The 20,240-nt window shown below is 35.3% G+C and overlaps 1 long non-coding RNA gene across 1 annotated transcript in view; it reads right to left on the minus strand.

The window, feature by feature from the left end:
* Nucleotides 1–934: 934 nt before the first annotated feature.
* The window catches only part of LOC105378031 (uncharacterized), a 181,459-nt gene continuing 162,153 nt past the window's right edge, over nucleotides 935–20,240 (minus strand). Inside the window, exon 4 of the long non-coding RNA XR_943079.3 lies at nucleotides 935–2,127. This is a non-coding gene — a long non-coding RNA (uncharacterized LOC105378031). The remainder of the gene's footprint in view (nucleotides 2,128–20,240) is intronic.

Below are 20,240 nucleotides of genomic sequence, written 5' to 3' on the forward strand. Positions count from 1 at the left end.
CTTTAAGAGTTCTATGTAGGAATAAAAACCAAAGGGTTTAAAATAACACTCTGAGGTGTGTAAAATAAGGGGTGAAATTGTAAGGCTATTAAACATTACAGCTAGGAAATCCAGGATTTTCGGAATCTTGTCCCTTAGACTACAATTATCACCCCACATATGGTCTTCAAACATACTATTTTGCAGAGGTTGCAATTTCCACCAAAAGATCTCAGGCTTGAGAATTGTAACTCAACCTATGAAACATTAGTGAGCTTTCCTTTACTATGTAACTTTGTCCTATAATACTTTAGGCCTAAATAGTTTCAAGCTCAAACAGATCATAAAGATATCTCTGTCTTTTAAAATTGAACATTCGCCCAGCATCGACGAGATAGAACCGGAGATATAGAGCAAGAGATGAAAAGTTGAACTGTGGTGCCAACATCACCACCACTGACTAATTCCAAGTAGATTATATGGGGTTTGGGGGTTGTGAGACATCTCAACATTTTTCCATGGAAGAGCAGTCTCTGGCCCTTATTATTCCATCCTGTAGAAGAGAGAAAACGAAGAGAAAGCCACACCCATGAACCTTGTCCTTGTATGAAATAGTGATTCCATCCATTAAAAATGTGGGCCAAACTTTGCTCTGTAATACAACCAGAGCAGTGCCCTCCTCCTCAGTGAGAAAACAGGATGCCTGTGGTCAGGGTGGTAAAAGCAAGTGAACAAAGATACCTCAAATGCTGATCATCTGACCCCACATCCCTCCAAAGTCAGGTGCTACATCTCATTTGACTACTTGTTGTTAATATCACCATTATTGCTAGGTTCATTAAGTGAATCATGGGAATGAAAAAGAGGTCTACAGAAAGACAGTGTTCATGGAGTTGAATGTATTGATGATACTAATGTTGAACTACATAGAAGGCTAATATTAAACCCTGAGAGATAAAATAAATTATTTTTTTATTTTGTCCCTTCCTCCTTGTTTCTACATTGTTTGTATCAGAGTCCTACTTTAGGGAGAAATAGCACAAATCAAATGGCCTGATATATACATAAATATTTGTCTTCCTTTCAAAAGATTCGCTTCCTTACATCTCTTTAACATTTTACATTTCTCTGTAGATAAATTTTTCTAGCTCACTGATATAAATCTAGATTTCCCCTCTGACATATAAAATAGAAAGAACTTCAAGCCTTTGAAACACATATCAGCTCCTGAATGTTCCAGAACTGTGACATAGTTGGTGGTGGTAAACTGTGATTATTAAAAAGGATATCCTTTAGACTCCCTATAAAAACATCCCTGTCTGTCCCTTTTTTACATTTACTGTAGGTGATGGGTTGTTCTGGTGATGCAGTGGGGTAAGTATGAGAGAAGGTAGAGAGAACACTTTAATATTCTCTCTGCTAAGGTATTTGTGAAAGTTTTCTTCTTTATACCTGTTAAAATAAGATAAATCTCACATCAATGTTTTTTTCATTTCTCATGATGCCAATAAAAGTTTCTAATATATTCATTGAAACAATGATAGTGACAAAGTGGTCTTTAGAAAACAACTGGTGGGGAAAAGACAAAACTTTTCTTCCAAATAGCTTTTAATAGCAGCAACAGCAGCAAAGTAAAGCAGTGTAATATTTGTTTTGTGAGAAGAGCATCTGCTAACTTCACTAACCCAGTAGAATAAGAATCATATGTTTAACAATGTCTCATTTCATACATCTAGAACGAGCCTAGTTTTTAGGGGCATTATTTTGTTACTGTGGATAATTAATATTAGTAAAGGGGATACTAGTATTCAAATGAATGAAGATATACATATTTTCTTCTTCCCAAAATATTTCTTATATATCTCTGTTTCTGTTTATTCTATTTTTCATCTGTAAAAATGAGAACTCTTGGAAAATATTTTTACATATTTTAAAGAATATTTAGAACGTTAAGTGCTTTATTGAAGCACATGCTGTTTATATCATAAAACATTAAAATAAAACTACTCCTTTTACTCTTTTTGAGCTCAACACAATTATGTGATGCAAAAGGCCCAACTCTGAAGAGGTTGAAAACAGATTACAATTAGTTTCATCGATTTGTGACCAATGTTCTTACCTCAAGAGCTTCATAATCTCAATTTCATCCTCAAAAACACAAAATAGAGATGTCTATTATGTAAGTTAATATGTCCCTGCTTTATAAAATCTAGCAGTTTTATTTCCCTGTTATTTCAAATCCTTGAAGTTAATTACCTTTGTTGATCCCACATGATTTCCGATACTTCATTTTTTAAGGTATTATGCAATATTCTGGAGGATATGTTGTTTATTTTTGAGCAATAAGTCCTCACAATAAAAAACTAAATCTATTAGTTCTTAAGCCTTACTTCCTTAAATCATGTCTCTGTTTGAAAAAAAAAAAGAATGTACTCTTCTATCAACCAAAGTGACGAAGTCTAATAAAGCTTGGATTTATCTATTTTGACAGAACTATTTAGCAAAAAAAAAACAGGTTTTGTTGCAAATTGATAAACATAAAGCATTGTGAGTCATCCTACTACAGGCACTGTGATCTCAGCATTCTAGGTTTGTGTTACCTGGGTTATTATTTATTTCTGTGTTCTGTATTATATTATTTATTTCTGTGTTCATATTATAGGCTTTTAAATTATATTACATTATAATTTAAATTATATTATTATATTAAAATATATACTCTAAATACATTCTCGGCCAGAAAAAAACAAAGTTCAAGTTAATGGCTCTTAATTTAAATATAAAATATATACCAGGGTTTGTTCTTGGCAGAAAAAGAATCTTCCAAGTAAAACTTTAGAAAGACAAAACACAAAAGCTCGATTCTTGGTGAAAAGCTATCCACTGAGAGAAGACAAGATACTGCTCTTTTTCCACATTTCCACCAAACACACCTTTTTCTCATTTGGTTGGGACAGCTGAAGCTTTGGAGGAAATTCTTCTAATGAGTATGACAGGATACCTTTTCCAGCATCTGTTCCTATTTTGGTGTGCATTCCTATACCACAGATGCTGGAAAGCTAACACTTTATTTTCACAAATGAAGTGCACTTGTTCAAAACTTGTATTGAGAGTGAGTAGGCAGGAAAAGAGGACATTGCATACAAGCCATTCATTTTGTTGATATAGAACTGGAAGAAATATTCATAGCAGACTTCTGATCCTAAGATCAAGGCTAAAGTGGTGCAATGTGGTAAGCAGCAGTTGGACAGCAGCTGTCTGATTCCCTAGCTTCTTAAATGTAGTGGTGGTAGCAGCTTCCTCAGTCGACCAGTTCTGTGGTGTGTCCTGCGAATCAGTGCTGGAGATTCAGAGAAGAGCCCCTTCTCCAACCCTTCAAAAAAGTTGGTAAGTGCAATCACTGTTTGAAATATTGTTGCACTTAAAATATAGCAAATATTGTCTGATGCGTGAACTAAAGTTTGAGTTGAAATAGGGCTAAAATGGATGAGAATGGGCAAGGGCTGGAGTGCATCGAATTTGCTGCCTATAGCAGAACAGCATTTAACAGTCTACCTTGGAGAATAATTTGAGAGTATCCTAAGCCTAGAACTCATTGCTCCTTACAGTAGTAAGTTTTATATAACAAATTATATACATATATACATATTCATCATATTATTAGAACAAATTCCATGATCATTTGTAAAAAAAAAAAAAGAAAAGAAAAAGAAAAAATGAAAAAACTCAACACCCAATCATGATGCAAACCATCAGCTAACAAAAAGTAGGAGGCGACATTCTGAAAAGGTTCCTTCAGAAAAATCTACAAATCTTTATGTAAGTTCTGATGATACTAAATGATAAAAGATTACATATTTTCCACATAAATTGAGGAAGAAGGCAAGAATGTCCCATTTCATTATGCCCTTTCAAGACTGTACAGAAAGTCTGAAGTGTAGTAAAGCAATCAAAAGGAATAAACATCATGAAAATCAAAAAGAAAAAAGTAAAACTTTTTTTATTTGCAGATGACAAAATTTGAATAGAAAATCTGGGTAATACACAACCAAAAGACTAAATCTGAAGGTGAATTTATCAAAGACATAGTGTAAAATATCAATATACAAAGTCGTGGATAGCTCTATTTTCTAGCACCAAACAATTGGAGAATGATTTTGAAAAAATAATGTACCATAATAATAAAAATAAAATATTAAATATAAGTTTAACAAAAGATGTGGAAAACTCTAAACTTAAAACTATAAAACATTGATGGGAGAAATTAAAACCTAAATAGAGAGAGATATAAATGATAATAGACTGAAAGACAATGCTATTAAGATATAAATTCTCCCCAAACTGATCTATATGGTTAATGCAATCTCATTCAAAATTTCAACTTTTAAAAATTGACATGTCTATTCTAAAAGTTATATAAAGTGCTAAAAAGACATAGTCATTGAAACAATCTTTACTAAAGAAGAAAGCAATGGAAGTTGACTTGCCATAAAGCTACAGTAATCAAAACAATGTAGTATGAAAATATGATGAGACAAATAGTTCAGTGGAGCAGAAGAGAGTTCATTAATAGACTTATGCATGAAAAGTCAATTGATTTTCAACAAAGTCCTGTGACAATTTAATTTTAAAAAGAATGCCATTTCAACAAATGGTGCCGCAACATGAATAAAAAACAATGTACCTCAAACCCCAATGCTCAACATACAAAAACTATACATTTTTTATGAAAAAATGTTAAGGTAAAATCTTCGCCACATTGAGGTGGGCAAAGATTTTTTAGAGAGGACACACACACACAAAAAGTAATCATAAAATAAAAAACTGATAAATTGAACATTAAAACTTAAAACAGCTACTCACAGTTAAGAAAGGAAATTATTCACAATACGTATGGACATAACAAAGGAATTGCTTCCAGAATATCTTTTAAAAACTGCAATGAAACCGTACTAAAAAAGAGAAACAAGACATTTTCAAAAAAAGACAAGACTTTGATGACACTTCACAAAAAATATATTAGCAATAAGCACATGAAAAGTTGTTCAACATCATTAGACATCTGATGTTGTAGGTCATTTTCCCTGAGAATTAGACTTTGAGGTGGAAGCTAAAATGTCGCATGTTTAAAGAAGGGCTCTTTGGCTAAACATGTGTGGAAAAGGGAAAATGAGTCAGATTTGTCAGGGGAGGCATTAGACAGCCATGCTTAAACAGCAAAAATCTCATGTGAATTCCCCATGAGTGGATCTGAAGCTGGAATGGTCCATCAGAGTTACCCCAAGTTGGAGCAAGAGGCTAGACCTTTGTACTCCTCCAATGAACAGTCATTGGAAGAAGCCTGTTCCTAGGAACAACAAAAGACGCATGGACTCATAGGAAGTAGCTCTCTTAAGTAGAGGCAATTCCGAGAGAGTGCAGTTCTGGGAAGTTGAGGACTGGCAGCAGATAGCATTCACAACCGGGGACGTAAGTACTTCATTTCTGAAGAGGAGAAATGGGATAACACGTGGTATCATCCACTATTTACTCATTGTGCCTTTTAGTTCTACTTTTCTACATAAGCTCTGGGAGTAGTTCCACCTGGATTCCAATGGGCCTCTTTCCCTGGGGGAAACTTAGAAAAGGAAAGTTAATGGGACAATCCCCCACCACAGCAGCTGTTCTCAAGGCTATAACTAAATATCATCAATTCCCTCTACTGTACATTCTCTATTTTCCTCACCCTTAGCTAGTAATTCTGTTGGTCTAAGTGGCCTTCCTATATACCTGAGGGGTTTGAGCTTCCACTCGCCTTGCTCTTCTATGGCTGTCTATTGCAGTTGACTTTTTATTGTCACCTACATGGGTCGATGGATCACATGGGGACCACACATATTCTTCTTTTCCCTCAACTTTAACAGCAGCCTTGATTCTTCCTGATGATCAGAGTCAATTATCCCTGCCAGAATGCTGGCTTTCCTAACTTGCTTGCCAGCCCCTTGACACAAAGCGCTTAATTAAGTTCCTGGTTGGCAGCCATGACAGAAAGTTCACTGGTTCTCTTGTGTCCCCTGATGTAAGTTTTCCCTTTCTGGGGATTAAGAATGTTGATACTTAGAGCTTGATGTTGTGAGGTAAGCAATTTCCTCAAATAAGACAACAGAGGCAACAGTCATCAGAGCTGCTCATACTTCTGCCCCCTGGTTCCCAGACCCTGTATTTTATTATTTGAGGACTCTCCACTTTAGAATGGTAATTGATAGTGTACTCTTCATTCTGGAGGATAACCATCCATGCTTGCAGTGTATATTCTCTAATCTGAGTCTCAGCTTTGCATTCAATAGGCCATCCCATCACTCTCATAGGCTGTCAGCTTCTTTGAGATGCAGGATGTAATTAGACCAGTGAACCTCAAGATCATGTGCCCATTTCTGCATCTCCTTAGCTGTTCATTGGATTTCTTGTCCTGATCAATGTAATTCAATGTGAGACTCCTAAGTTAGTGGAACAAGCACACTGAGCACTTGCATAGAAGATGGTAACTGGGAAACTATGTGTAGAAAAGGGAAACCCGTATTCAGAATTGTGCCAGTTCCAGTCAAAAGAAAATGCTGCACTTTTCATGGCAAAAGGGGCCCCAGGGAGTAAACTTGCCAGCAAAAGGCTGGTAAATCTCTTCCAGTGAGGTGCTGCATCAGTGATTATGTGCTGGGCTTATTTGCTGGCAAGTGAATATTTAACAGTGTCAGTATAATTATCAGCTATGGTGAATGGGAGCCTGGCCTGTTGGGCCCATGGCTAGGCCCCATCTCTTCCACCATATCTACCATATTCAGACACCCATTATATCAGCACAGGGGTGGCTGATGCAGAAGCTAGGTTAGGGCCACTAGGAGAATCATGCTGTCTACTGTGTTATTGAATGCCTCTTCTGAGATGAATACTACCTGGTAGACAATGAGACGTTGTCCATGCCATGCCTTGCCAGCAGACCAGTCCACGTGCCTCTACTCCTTACCTCCTTGCCTCTGATTTTCCAATCTTTTCTTTCCATGCCCCTAGACCAAACAACCAGAGCAGTTGCTTTTACCCATGAGTATACTCTCAGCTGTCTACTCTTCTGCCCAAAATTGACAATCAAATTCACCATTTGTAGTGCCTTTGAGGAGGATTTCCTCTTACTTCTGTCTTTCAGAACTACCCCGAGTGGAACCAAAGTGCAACTTCAGTTTTAGATTGCACACACATAATGAACTGAACCATCTGTGAACCAAAGTCTTTTTAAAATTTCCTTCTGTATTAGTCAGGGTTCTCTCTAAAGGGACAGTACAAATAGAATATATATAAAAGAGAGTTTATTAAGGAGTATTGACTCACACAATCACAAGGTGAAGTCCCATAATAGGCTGTCTGCAAGTTGAGGAGTGAGGAAGCCAGTCCAAGCCCCAAAACCTCAAAAGTAGGGAAGCCGACAGTGCAGCCTTCAGTTTGTGGCCAAAGGCCCAGGAGCCCTTGGCAAACCACTGGTATAGGTCCAAGAGTCCAAAATCTGAAGAACTTGGAGTCTGATGTTTGAGGGCAGGAAGTATCCAAAACAGGAGAAAGATGGAGGCTAGAAGATACAGCCTGTCTAGTCCTTCCATGTTCATCTGCCTGTTTTTATACTAACCACACTGGCAGCTGAGTAGATGGTGCCCACTCAGATCAAGGGTGGGGCTGCCGCTCCTAGTCCACTGACTCAAATGTTAATCTCCTTTGGCAACACCCTCACAGACACACCCAGGAACAATATCTTGGATCCTTCAATCCAATAAAGTTGACACTCAAGATTAACCATCACACCTTGCCTGTCAGCTGGTCATAAGGGATCTGCATCCCATGTGGTCTTAGACATAAACTGAAAGGTGGATATCTGGGTCATACGAGGATGCAACTTTTTTATTTCTTCCAGCCATGGTTGTGTCTGAACCAAGATTAACAACTTCCATGTTACGATGGTTTACTGCTGGGCCTCTCAATTTTGTGACTTGTTGTAGTTGACTGAATCCAGATGTGAATGGGCAATTACGGCCTCATGGTCATATCAAGAACCATGGTCAGGCATTCCAATTCTCAACGGAGACTCAGCAGCATATCAGGTGCTCTTTTATAAAAGGTATATTAATTTTCCACTAAAAATTGCACAGCCTTGCTTCAGAATCTGAAGTGTCTACATAGGGCTTGCTATAAAACTACTCCTGTATGTTTCTTCAGATACTGCTAATATTATAGGGTATTCTTTATGATAATGTTTATATGAATCAAGTGGTGGTACTGTTACATAAGCCACAGCCTGAGCCTGATGCAAAGCCTTTCTTGCTCTGGGAACCACTGAAGCTGGTGAATTGAAAGGCATTTCATTTCACTTATTGTATAAGCAGGAACTGTATTTCTGGGTATGGATTAAGTTGTCTTCATGACCTAGCAGCATGTCAGGCATTGCATTTTCTTTACCATGTGGTACAGCAAGATGCAAAAATCTGTCCTGTACTTTAGAAGAGATATAATGGTATACCAGGACTACTGGATCCTTAAATACTTAACCGAGTCTTCACGGTTCAGCTGTCATTCTACAGAGAATATATTTCTTACCAAGGCCTTCAACCAACTTGACAATTTCTGCTCATCTGGTTTTGTTTTCTTGAGGTCATGAATATATTGGATTGGTAGGATGATACCACTGAAGCTACCACGATTTCTCTGGTCTTTGTAAGGACAACATTGGTGAACTAAATGGGGATATAATTGGGACCACACTCCTGTATTTTTAGGTATTTAAGGGTGGCACTAAACTCTGCAATTCCTCACAAAGGTTGATTATGCTTTTGTTTGCTATCTTAGAGGGGTAACTATTGAGTAAATGAGTTATTCTATTGATATCATTATAATTCTTGATGTCAATCAGGCTCAAAATTTGATACTACTCTGCCCCACATCTAGTGAGTCACCAGATCTAAACTAACTGTGAAAATTTCCAAACCCCTCCCCTTTGCTCAATCATTATTATTATTGTACTAGTTCAGGTATTTATGTCTTTTCTCTAGGTTATTATGTAAAACTTTTGTTTACATTCAAGCTCTTTCCAATCCAATTTATTATCTTAATGCAATATTCTTTTTTCAAAACCTTCCCCATTCTCAAAAGATATTGGCTATTTGTAGTCTATAAAAGCCTGGAGAGTGTAAATCCCTCCACAGTTCATATCTGTCATTAACCCTGGATCTGTTCACTGAAACACTTCAATCCTGGGATTATGGCTAGAGATGTTAGTGGTGCCACATATCTGAGTTACCAGTGGTGAATCCTTACAGATCTGCAGCAACCTCAATTCTTGCCTCCTCTGAAGAAAGAATTGGATGGAGAAGCATAAGGCTGAATAAGACACCAAGGCAAGTTTTAGAGCAGGAGTGAAAGTTTATGAACAAGCTTTAGAGCTAGAATGAAAAGAAAGTACACTTGGAAGAGGGCCAAGTGGGCATCTTGGAGGACAAATGTGGGGTTTGACCTTTTGACTTGGGGTTTTGGATGTCAGCGTACTTCCAGAATCTTGTGTCTCTTCTCCCCTGATTCTTCCCTTGGGGTGGGTTGTCCACATGTGCAATGGCCTTGTGGAGGGATGCAAATGTGGAGGGGAGCACGCACAGTGTGTTAGTGTGTTTAGTGGAGTTGTATGCATGCTCACTTGAGGCATTCTTCCCTTACCAGTGGAATGCCCCTGGAAGATCATGTACCTGTTAAACTCCACCATTTTGCCTTTTAATGCACATGCTTGAGCACACCCACTCAACTCCTGAGATCTTATCCAGAAGCTGCTTATCACTAGTTTCAGGCCTTTTCTTTTCTTTTTTTTTTTTTTTTTTTTTTTGAGATGGAGTCTCGCTCAGCTGCCCAGGATGGAGGGCGGTGGCGTGATCTCAGGGCTCACCACAACCATTGTCTCTGGGGTTCAAGCGATTCTCCTGTCTCAGCCTCCCTAGTAGCTAGGATTACAGGCACCCACCATCATGCCCAGCTAATTTTTGTATTTTAGTAGAGACGGGGTTTCACCACGTTGGCCAAACTGGTCTTGAACTCCTGACCTCAGGTGATCCGCCTGCCTCAGCCTTCCACAGTGCTAAGATTACAGGCATGAGCCACCGCGCCTGGCTTGTTTCAGTTATTTTCTACCTGTGGGGACAATGCCTTTCCTTGGTGCTGGCTGCAACCAGTTATTATTTGAGAGAGACAGTTAACAACCACCTGACTATCACTTGATGGTCACCTGACATTCCTAATTGGTGGTGGGGGGTGTCTCTTGCCTGACTACCTACTGTAACAGAGATTGTGTATTGTTGTATGGGGAAGATGACAGCTAAAAGTGAAATTTACATTTAGACCAATTTCAGCTCAATTCTTAAAAGGTATTTTAGGGAAGTAGAACTACTTTATTCCAGAAGATATTATTTAATTACATAGAAGAACTTAAGGATACAGAGTGATACTATGTATGGAATAATGGGAAGGGTTATTCTGCTTTCTGACAGAAGTTGAATTAGATTAACTGGAATATCTTTGTGAATTAAATATCTTGAAACTTTTGATAAACTTTTAAAAAATTCAAATTTTCCATTTTAGATTTTAAGAAAATAATTAACCGTGCTCTTCATAATGCTTCCAAAATGAAGGATTTTCATCTCAACACCCTATGCTGGAGTTATTTAATTCAAACAGAAAGAAAAGAAAAGAAAGCCTCAGAATTCATAAGAATGCTGTGATGAGTGTGATAACATGTTATCTACAGCCTTTGAGCCCTTTGAAGATAAGCTGTTGAATAATGTCACTACATTATTATTATAGTTAGAATATAAATACAGGTTTAGCATCCTGTCAAGATAATACAACTTTCAAAAGAATACAAAGTGAGAAATTCACATGTGCAATTTTAAAGGAATGAGGCAAGATTCAAAAGATAAAATCAAACAAAAGATATCATATTTTATTATCTTTATATATCCTTTTCATAAAAATAAGTCATAAAAATATACATAGATAGATAAATTAATTTTAAATTTAAGTTTGGTTGCCCATTACTTTATGTGGGAGAGTATTTTGAGCAGTCCAAATGAACTTAATTGAAATAAAACTGTTCAACTGATTTATTTACATTAAGATCAATATCAGTTTTTAAACTGGACATTTCTCTAACATTTGTGTTAAAACTAAAAATTAGTCATAATTGTTACGTCTCTATGTTTTAGTTAATTAAATATTATGATTAATATAAAAAAGAAATGATTTTAGTATTTTAGTATTATTGTCTTTAAAGCTATTTTTTCACAGTGTATAGTCCTTTGATGTAAGTCATTTGGGTTATTCCTCAAAACTAAACAATTGCTTAATTACTCCAAGGCACAGAATCCACACTACAATTTTAAAACATCAAAATGGGAAAAGTAATTAGTCTCTTGAGTATAATTAATCCGTCTGCTAAGAATTGGGCCAAATTGTAGTTTAGCGTTCTCTAGAATTCAGAAGCCAATTTTAATTACACTGAAACGTTGAGCTTGAAGCTTGTAGACTTTGGCTCTAAAAGTAAGTTAAATCTTTATATTTATGGTGGACTTGAAAAAACACAGGACACATGGAAAGGAAGGCTTTACTTCCAGAACTAGACATCTACAGCAAAACTTCAGGATTGTTTATTCTTCCTTTATAAGCTAGATATGGTTTAGGGACCATTGAGTGCTTGATAGGCATTTCATAAAGCAAATGCAATTTATTTCTACTGCACTTTCATTGACAAATATCAAACACAAAGTTACTGGATATTAACACAGAGAAAAAGACAAAAATAATTTTTACAGTAAACTTTAGAGAGAGGAGAATGTTGTTTGTTAGCAGCAGAAATGACGCACTTTGCAAAATATGCATCAAATGATCACTTCAGCAAATGATCAATTCAACAAAAGATTTGTTTGCTGTATTTATTTAATTTAGTAAAGCAATGTTTTTAAGAATGCATGAATTTCTCATCAATTCACACTGTTTTAATATATTTTAAAGGTTTCTACAGAGTTTTCAATTTGTATTTGTAGTAGCAGTTTAAGAAATGTATTTGACAAAAGCTAAGGGCTATTGGAAAGTTTAAATTTCCTTTCAATATATTTGGTATTCATAAAAGCCTATTTTATTCACCTGTAGCCTAAATTTAAGCATCACTTTACAGTGTTCAGTCTGTGCTAATATATTTTGAATCATTTGCAACATAATACTTATGTTATAAGCCATGTATCACTACCAAGATGCCTTCTCCAATTTTTCAAGTAAGAAATTGTTTCTCATATCTGTATCATTCAGAAGTGAAAATATACTGCGCTTCATTTATTTCTTATATATTACCTGTATTTTGAATTTTTAAAGAATTTCTAAACAAAACCTTCCTTTGCTCTTTTGCATGCAAAGTTAATGTACATAGAATTAGAGATACAAATAGTGCTGCAAATTTAATTAATATAGTAATCCTTTCTAGGAAAATCCCTAGGAATAAACGTAATAAAGATGGCAGGAGATATATTAAAAGCAAACAAACATTTACTGAGGCATGTAGAGAAAATACAAACAAATGAAAGCCACATTTCTTTCCTGACTGGGAAGATGAAATGCAAACTTTACTTCTCTCTGTGATAATTGGAACACTTTATGTGAAAAATAACACAAAACCAAGTCAAACTGGCACTGTGGATGAGAGTGTTGATTCAATCATGTGTATGGAAGTTCAAAAGAAAAGTGAAATTCAAGGTTGGCTTAATTTATTGACTTAATTATGTCTAAAATCTATTTGTTTTTAAACATTTTTTTTTCTTCCTGGCATGTTTTTAGCTTTATTCTAAATCTAAAATTGACTTTTTTCCTGATTGCAAGTCAATTGCCAAAACTTCCCTGAGCTAGAATATTCCTCATTCACATGGTGGGGAATTTGGGGCAGGGCATGGAGAGATAAGCGGAAAGAAAGACAGCTGTATATCTCTTACAAACTTCAAACAAAAATCCTGAAATGCATTCTAATTGGCCAACCTTAAATTATGTGGCCAGTTCTTAGCTAGTCACTACAATGAAGAAAGTGCCAGATGCTGATTAATTTAAGCCAATAAAGAGCTACCTTTGGAATGGAAACCAAATTTCTTGGCTACTATTCAAGAATAATAATAGAAGTGAGGTTGTAAATAAAAATAAAATGCTGTACACACTTTCCAAATTAGTTATTATTTACCGTATAGGCATTTAAATTAAGTGGTATTGGGAGAACTTGACAAATTTGTTCTAATGTTCATCTAGAAAAGTATCCCTAAATTCAAATGTTTATAAGGTCAAAGTAGTTAAACCTACAAAATCAAGTCAAATGAAAGGGCATTTATAATATGCAAAGATAGGGTAAACCTGATTTTTTTTTCCTAACTTGGACTCTATAAGAGTAATTATTAGTCTAGGTAAGAGTTACAACCCATACCATCCCATGCAAATCTGAACATATGTGTGTATATATATTTGTACTTTATATATATATATATAAAATATATATATGTTATATATGTGATATATATGTATATATAATACATATGATATATATGTGATATATATATAATTATTATTATCCTCTCTCTCAAGAGCAGTCTCTCAGCATGTGCCAATTATTGCCATATAAGAAACAGTCTCAGCATCACTGGATTTTCTGATCTTTCAGTAGGAAAAAAATCCAATTTTTATATGAAATATCCTAATTTTAAAATATTGCTTTAATTAAAAATTAGCTGGAAAATATTTGTTGTTTTTCAACCTCTGTTCTAGGAAGTAAATGAATAAAAATAGCTCTTGTTATTTGAAGAAAAAAAGCACAAAAAACTAAGTATATTGCCAAATATTAAAACACATAAAAACCGCCGTAATTAAAGCAGTGTGGTATTGATGTAAGAATAGGGAGATAAATTAATGGAAAACAAAACACAAGTCAGAAACAGAGCCAACAATATGTAAGCATTCAGTATGGTCATCATACAAAACTCATTTCTCCAGTACATTTTTTCTCTCCATTTCCATAGCCACTACCCTGATCTCAGCCACCATCACTTCTCACCTGGATTCCTAATAAAGTCTCTGAGCCTCACCTTTTATCTACTCATATTACTCTTCAATCTATTCTACATACTATGGCTAGAGTTTTGAAAATTACAAACCTGAACTTATTATTTCTTTATTAAAGTACATCAATAAATTTTCATTGTTTTAGTACAAAGACAAAATTTCTTCATGACTGTTATGAAATTCACAGAATGGCCCTTACCTGCTCTTATACTTCAACTTGTCCAGCTCTCTCGTATTTAGGCTTTATTTTCAAACCTGGTAAGTTCGAGATACTTAATATACATATAAATTGGAGGTACTGAATAAAAAAATGTTACATGCAAGTCATGAGTTCAAGAAAGACTGTTAACCTAGATGCATAACCCTGAGAAACATTAGTGTTCTTATGTGCTAAAAGCAATGAAACTGAGTTTACTTAAAGAATATACATAGATACAGAAGATTAGAACTCAAATATCTAAAGAAAACATGCTCTACAGCACAATGCAATCATACTATTCAGCCTTTTAAAAGAAGTAAATTCTGTCACTTGTGACAATATAGATAGAATTGGAGAACATTATGCTAAGTGGAATAAGCCAGGCACGGAAAGATGAATACCACAAGTTCTCACTTCTATGCAGAATCTAAAACAATTGAACTCATAGAAGCAGAGAGCAGGATGGTGGTTATAGTCGCTGCAGATTGAGAGAAATGGGGAAATGATGGCCGAAGGGTAAAAAATCTCAGAAACGAGGAATATATTTTTTAGTTCTATTACACAGCATGGTAAATATGGTTAATAATAGAGTACTATACATTTCAAAATTGCTGAGAATAAATTTCTAATCCTCCCACGGCAAAAAAAAGTTAAGTATTTGAGATAATGGATTTGCTAACCAACTTGACATAATAATTCACATTGTATTTACGAAACATAGCATCACTTTGTACCCCATAAATGTATATCATTATAAATTACCAATTTATAATTTAAAAAATAAAATTATAAAATTGTAAAAGCAAATATAAGAAAAAGAAGTCAAAGACCTGATTGCTGTAGCATCCAGCATTTAGAGGTGAGAAAAATTAAAAAAGGAAAAGCAGAGTAAAGTGAGAAGAAGCTGCCAGTAAAGCAGGAAAGAAACCAGTGTCATTTTTCGGAAAGAGATGAGGAATAAAAGAAGGTACAATCACTATAATATGTCAAGAAAAAGACATAAATTTATGAAGATTGAAAATGACAAAAAAAAAGCTGTTGTATTCACAAAGTATGTTACTATCCGTATAGAAAACCCAATGGAATCTAAAATTTTTATAAATAATGCAGAAATCTAGTAACTTCAGTAAATATGCAATCAATATACAAAAATCAATGTTTTTCTGTCTGTAACAAAAGTGAAAAAAGCATAGTTTTGCAAGGATTCTATTTTCCATAGCAACTCCTTTTTCTCCTGAATCTCAACTCAACTGACTTTTTCAACTCAATCTCTTTTTCTTTTCATGCTTTGTGTATGTGTATGGGTGTGTACCACAGGCATATCTCTGATAAAATGTGAGCACAATCTTTACAGAGCAAATTACAAAATCTTATTGAGCTATATTACATAGAAACATATATCTATATACCACATTGATATATGGGAAATGTTAGTATCTTTAAAATATCAATTATCTTCAATTACTCTATAAATTCACAATATTCTAAACAAAATCTCAGTAGTTGTGAAGTACTTGGAGGAACTTGACAAGTATAACTTAAAATATATGTAGAAATGCAAAAAGCTAAGAATAGCCAAAAATTTGCAACACTGGCTTCGGTAAAAGTATTAAACAAAGATAGTGTTGGAATAAAAATCACAGATATGAGTTTATGGAATTTTTATAGATGACAGAATTGGCATTTCAGTTCAGAAAAGGATGGAATAGTATTTAATAATTTGTAATATAATACTTATCAATGGTGGGGTTGGGAATAGATCTCTATGTTGATATCAAAATCAGTTCCTCATGCATTAAGCACTTCAATGTAAAAAGAAACATTTTAGAACTCTCAAAAGAAACCATATAAGAATATATTATTTTCTCACAATAGTTTAAAATATATTAAACAAGATCAAAAAGAAAAAAACACAGTACATAAAATATTGCTAATTCATGTACATTCATATTCAGAGTACTGTTCTTTAAATCATAAGAAAAAATTATCACAAACTAGGTAGGATATATAGAGGAAATATAAGCACAAAGTGTTAATATACCAAATATATAAAGAAAAACACCAGAAACTCCATGGGATAATATGACAAAGATATCAACTGTCCATAAATAAATAAGGATAAGCCAGTGAACAATACGTATATGAAAATATGAAGAATCTCACTAGTAAGAGCTCAGTAAGAGGTCTAAATTTTACTTTCATTAGTTTGGCAGAAAGTAAAAAGTGTATCAATATCAGGCATTTATAGACATGGAGCAATAAGAAACACCACCTGACGTTGCTAGAAATTAATTATATAAAACCAAACTGAGAATAATTTGCCCCACCGTATAGAAAAATTTATATTAACTCTAAGACTCAATAATCTTACTCTTAGTTATAAACTCTAGAGAAACTCTTGCACACAAACACAAAGAAACATACATAAGAATTTTCTTAGAAGTTCTGGTTGTAAAAAAAAAAGGAAATGGAGGGCTGGGTGCTGTGACTCTCTCCTGTAATCCCAGCACCTTGGAAATGGAGGCAGGAGGATTGCTTGAGCCCAGGAGTTCAAGACCAGCCTGGACAACAAAGTGAAATTTCATCAATGCAAAAAAAAAAAAAAAATTTCAATTAGCCAAGTGTGGTGGCATGTGCCTGTGTTCCCAGTGAATCAGGAGGCTGAGGCAGGAGGACTGCTTGTAGCCAGGAGATTGAGGTTGCAGTGAGCTTGTTTTCAAATAAAAGATGTTGGCAAGGTTGTGGAGAAAAGAGAACACTTATACACTGTTGATAGGTGTGTAAATTAGGTCAACCACTCTGGAAAGCAGTACAGTGATTCCTCAAAGAGCTAAAAACAGAGCTACCATTCAACTCAGCAATCCCATTACTGGGTATACCCAGAGGATACATAAATCATTCTACAGTAAACACTCATGCATGCAAATGCTCACTGTGGCACTGTTCACAAAAGCAGACATGGAATCAAACTAAATGCTCATCAATGACAGATTAAATATTTTAAAATGTGGTACATACACACCATGGAATACGATACAGCCATAAAAAAGCAAAAAAATCAGCCAGGCATGATGACTTATGACTCACACCTGTAATCCTAGCACTTTGGAAGGCCGAGGCAGGCAGATTGACTGCACTCCAGAGTTCAAGACCAGCCTGGGCAACACGGTGAAACCCCATCTCTACTAAAATACAAAACATTAGCCAGGTGTGGCAGCATGCTCCTGTAGTCCCAGCTACACAGGAGGCTAAGGCAGGAGAATTACTTGAAACCGGGAGGCAGAGGTTGCAGTGAGCCGAGATCACCCCACTGCACTCCAGCCTGGGCAACAGAGTGAGACCCTGTCTCCAAAAAAAAAAAAAAGAAAGAAAGAAAAAAAAAGATCATGTCTTTTGCAGAAACAGGATGAAGCTGGAGGCCATTATTCTTAGCAAACTAACACAGGAACAGAAAACCAAATACCACATATTCTCACTTAAAAGTGGGAGCTAAATGATGGGAACACATGGACACATAGAGGGGAACAACAGATGTTGAAGTCTATTTGAGGGTGGAGGGTGGGAAGAGGGAGAACAGCAGAAAACATAACTATTGGGTACTAGGCTAAGTACTTGCGTGATGAAATAATCTGTACAACAAACTCTGTGTCACGAGTTTACCTATATAATAAACCTGCATGTGTACCACCAAAACTAAAATAAATGTTTTTTAAAAATGGAAGTAGTCTAAATGTCTGTGATCACACACACAAAAAGATTATACTATATTCATGCAATGGAATCCTACATACCAGATCAAGGAAATGAACTAAAGCTACATTTATCACACAATCAAGGTAATAAACATATCCTTCACCTCTAGAAGTTTCCCTGTTGTGTCTGTTTCTATTTTTTATGGTGTTTTAATATAATACAACAACCCAGCAATTGTACTCCTGGGTATTTATTTCAACAAAATGAAAATTTATGTCCATACAAAAACCTGTACATGAATGTTCAGAATGTCTTTATTTGTAATAGCCAAAAGTTGAGAACAACCCTAATGTCCTTCAATGGGTGAATGAATAAAAATAAATAAATATCCATAATATAGACTACTAGTCAGCAATTAAAAGGAAGGAGCTAGTGATATACTATACTACTTGCATGTATTTCAAGGGCATTATGCTGAGTGAAGAAAGTCAACCATAAAAAGTTACACACTGTATATTTCCATTTATATAATATTATCAAATGACAAAATTATTGTCATTTGTGATGTCATTGTGACAAAGCTAGGATTAGGAATTTTCTTTGTGTTGATAGAATGGTTCTGTGTCCTGATTGTGGTGGTGGTTATATGGATCTGTATCTGTCTGTCTGTCTGTCTGTCTGTCTATCTATCTATCTATCTATCTATCTGACAAAAAAAATGTATCATGCTATAAACCAAAAACAAAATAAAACAAATATATGTAAAAACTGGTGAAATCTGAAGAAAGTCTGTAGTTTACTTAACAGTATAGTATCAATGTGAGTGTCCTGCTTTGGATAATGTTCTGTGCTTATGTAAGATGTTGTTATTGGAGAGAGCTGAGTAGAAAGTCCAAGGATAAGCTATGTATTACGATTGCAGCTGGCTATGAGTCTTAAACTGTTCCAAGATAAAAAGTTAAGCAAAAAAATTTAGACTCTTCTGCTTATTTCTCTTATTATGCAAAAAAAGGGCCTAACCAAGTATTCAGAAATCACTTTTTTCCTTCTAAGGAAGCCTGACCACCTTTCACAAAAACACATTTAAATACTAGCTACTTCAATAAATAGTTCTTTGTGTAGTCATGCAGCAGTCTTTAGTAACATAAGACTTTTCCAAATTGCCACTAACAGAAAATTATTATTAGTGTGACTTCGCCTCCTGAAGGAACTTGAACTCACACACACACTCACAGCAGGAACAGACTTAAGCCTGCTGGGTTTTCAAGCACTGTAATGTAGTGAAGCAAGAGAAAGGCAGCATGAAGGAAACAGGGAGGATGTAGAAGGAGCCTCACTCTAATACATCACTGGTTTAATTCTCTTCTCCCATTATGGCATATTTAGCCTGTTATAAAGGTTAGGGATTTTTGATAATGGTAAATCTATGCAGAGTAAGGTCCATCTGTATTTTAAAATCCCCAATAAAATATACAAACTCCCTGTATATATTTATTTATATCCATTTAAAATGCTGAAACTCCCTCTTCCATTCATTAGCTGTTTTGTTGTCTTCACAAAAATCATGGGGAGAAAACATTTAATTAGTATTTCACCTTAAATGAATAGAATGGATAAGAAACCAATTAGTCTTTAGATAATAGAAAGTCTAATTAGCCACCAAGTATTCAACAGAAAATCTTCATTGTTTTCCTTTCTGTAACTGAGGCAGCATGCACGGATCAGATCAGAATCCCAGGAGTGCCTAATCTAATCCCTCTCCTGCCTCTAACGTATTGCTAAAAGCATAAACAGATCGCTTTATTGAGAGATTAATACATTTAGCAAATATACCTGAGGGTAGCAGTGCTTTGAATGTGTGGAATGTGATTGGGAACTCCGGAAAACAAGCTTACTCTTCCATAGTCTAATACCTGTCACTTTATTGTTGTGAAGAACAAGATGACAAGAAGCAAACACTAAAAGCATTCCGCGGAACCTGGAAGTGTGTGTGTTTGTTTGTGAGCACATGCACATGTGAGCGTAGTGAGAGTTCAACCAGGGAAGACTCAACTTTAAGGGCAGAAACAGAGGACATGACTATTAACTAAGATTTGAACATTCTAAAATTGACAGGTAAAGCATGAAGGAGGGGGATGTCTATTTAAATACGTAGAAGCTAAGTGTTTAGCTCCATTCACCACGCCTTCTTGCCTTGTTCTAGATGAATTTGGCAATTTGTCCATCTTGT

Source organism: Homo sapiens, chromosome 6 (assembly GCF_000001405.40).
Source record: "Homo sapiens chromosome 6, GRCh38.p14 Primary Assembly".
Taxonomy (NCBI): domain Eukaryota; kingdom Metazoa; phylum Chordata; class Mammalia; order Primates; family Hominidae; genus Homo; species Homo sapiens.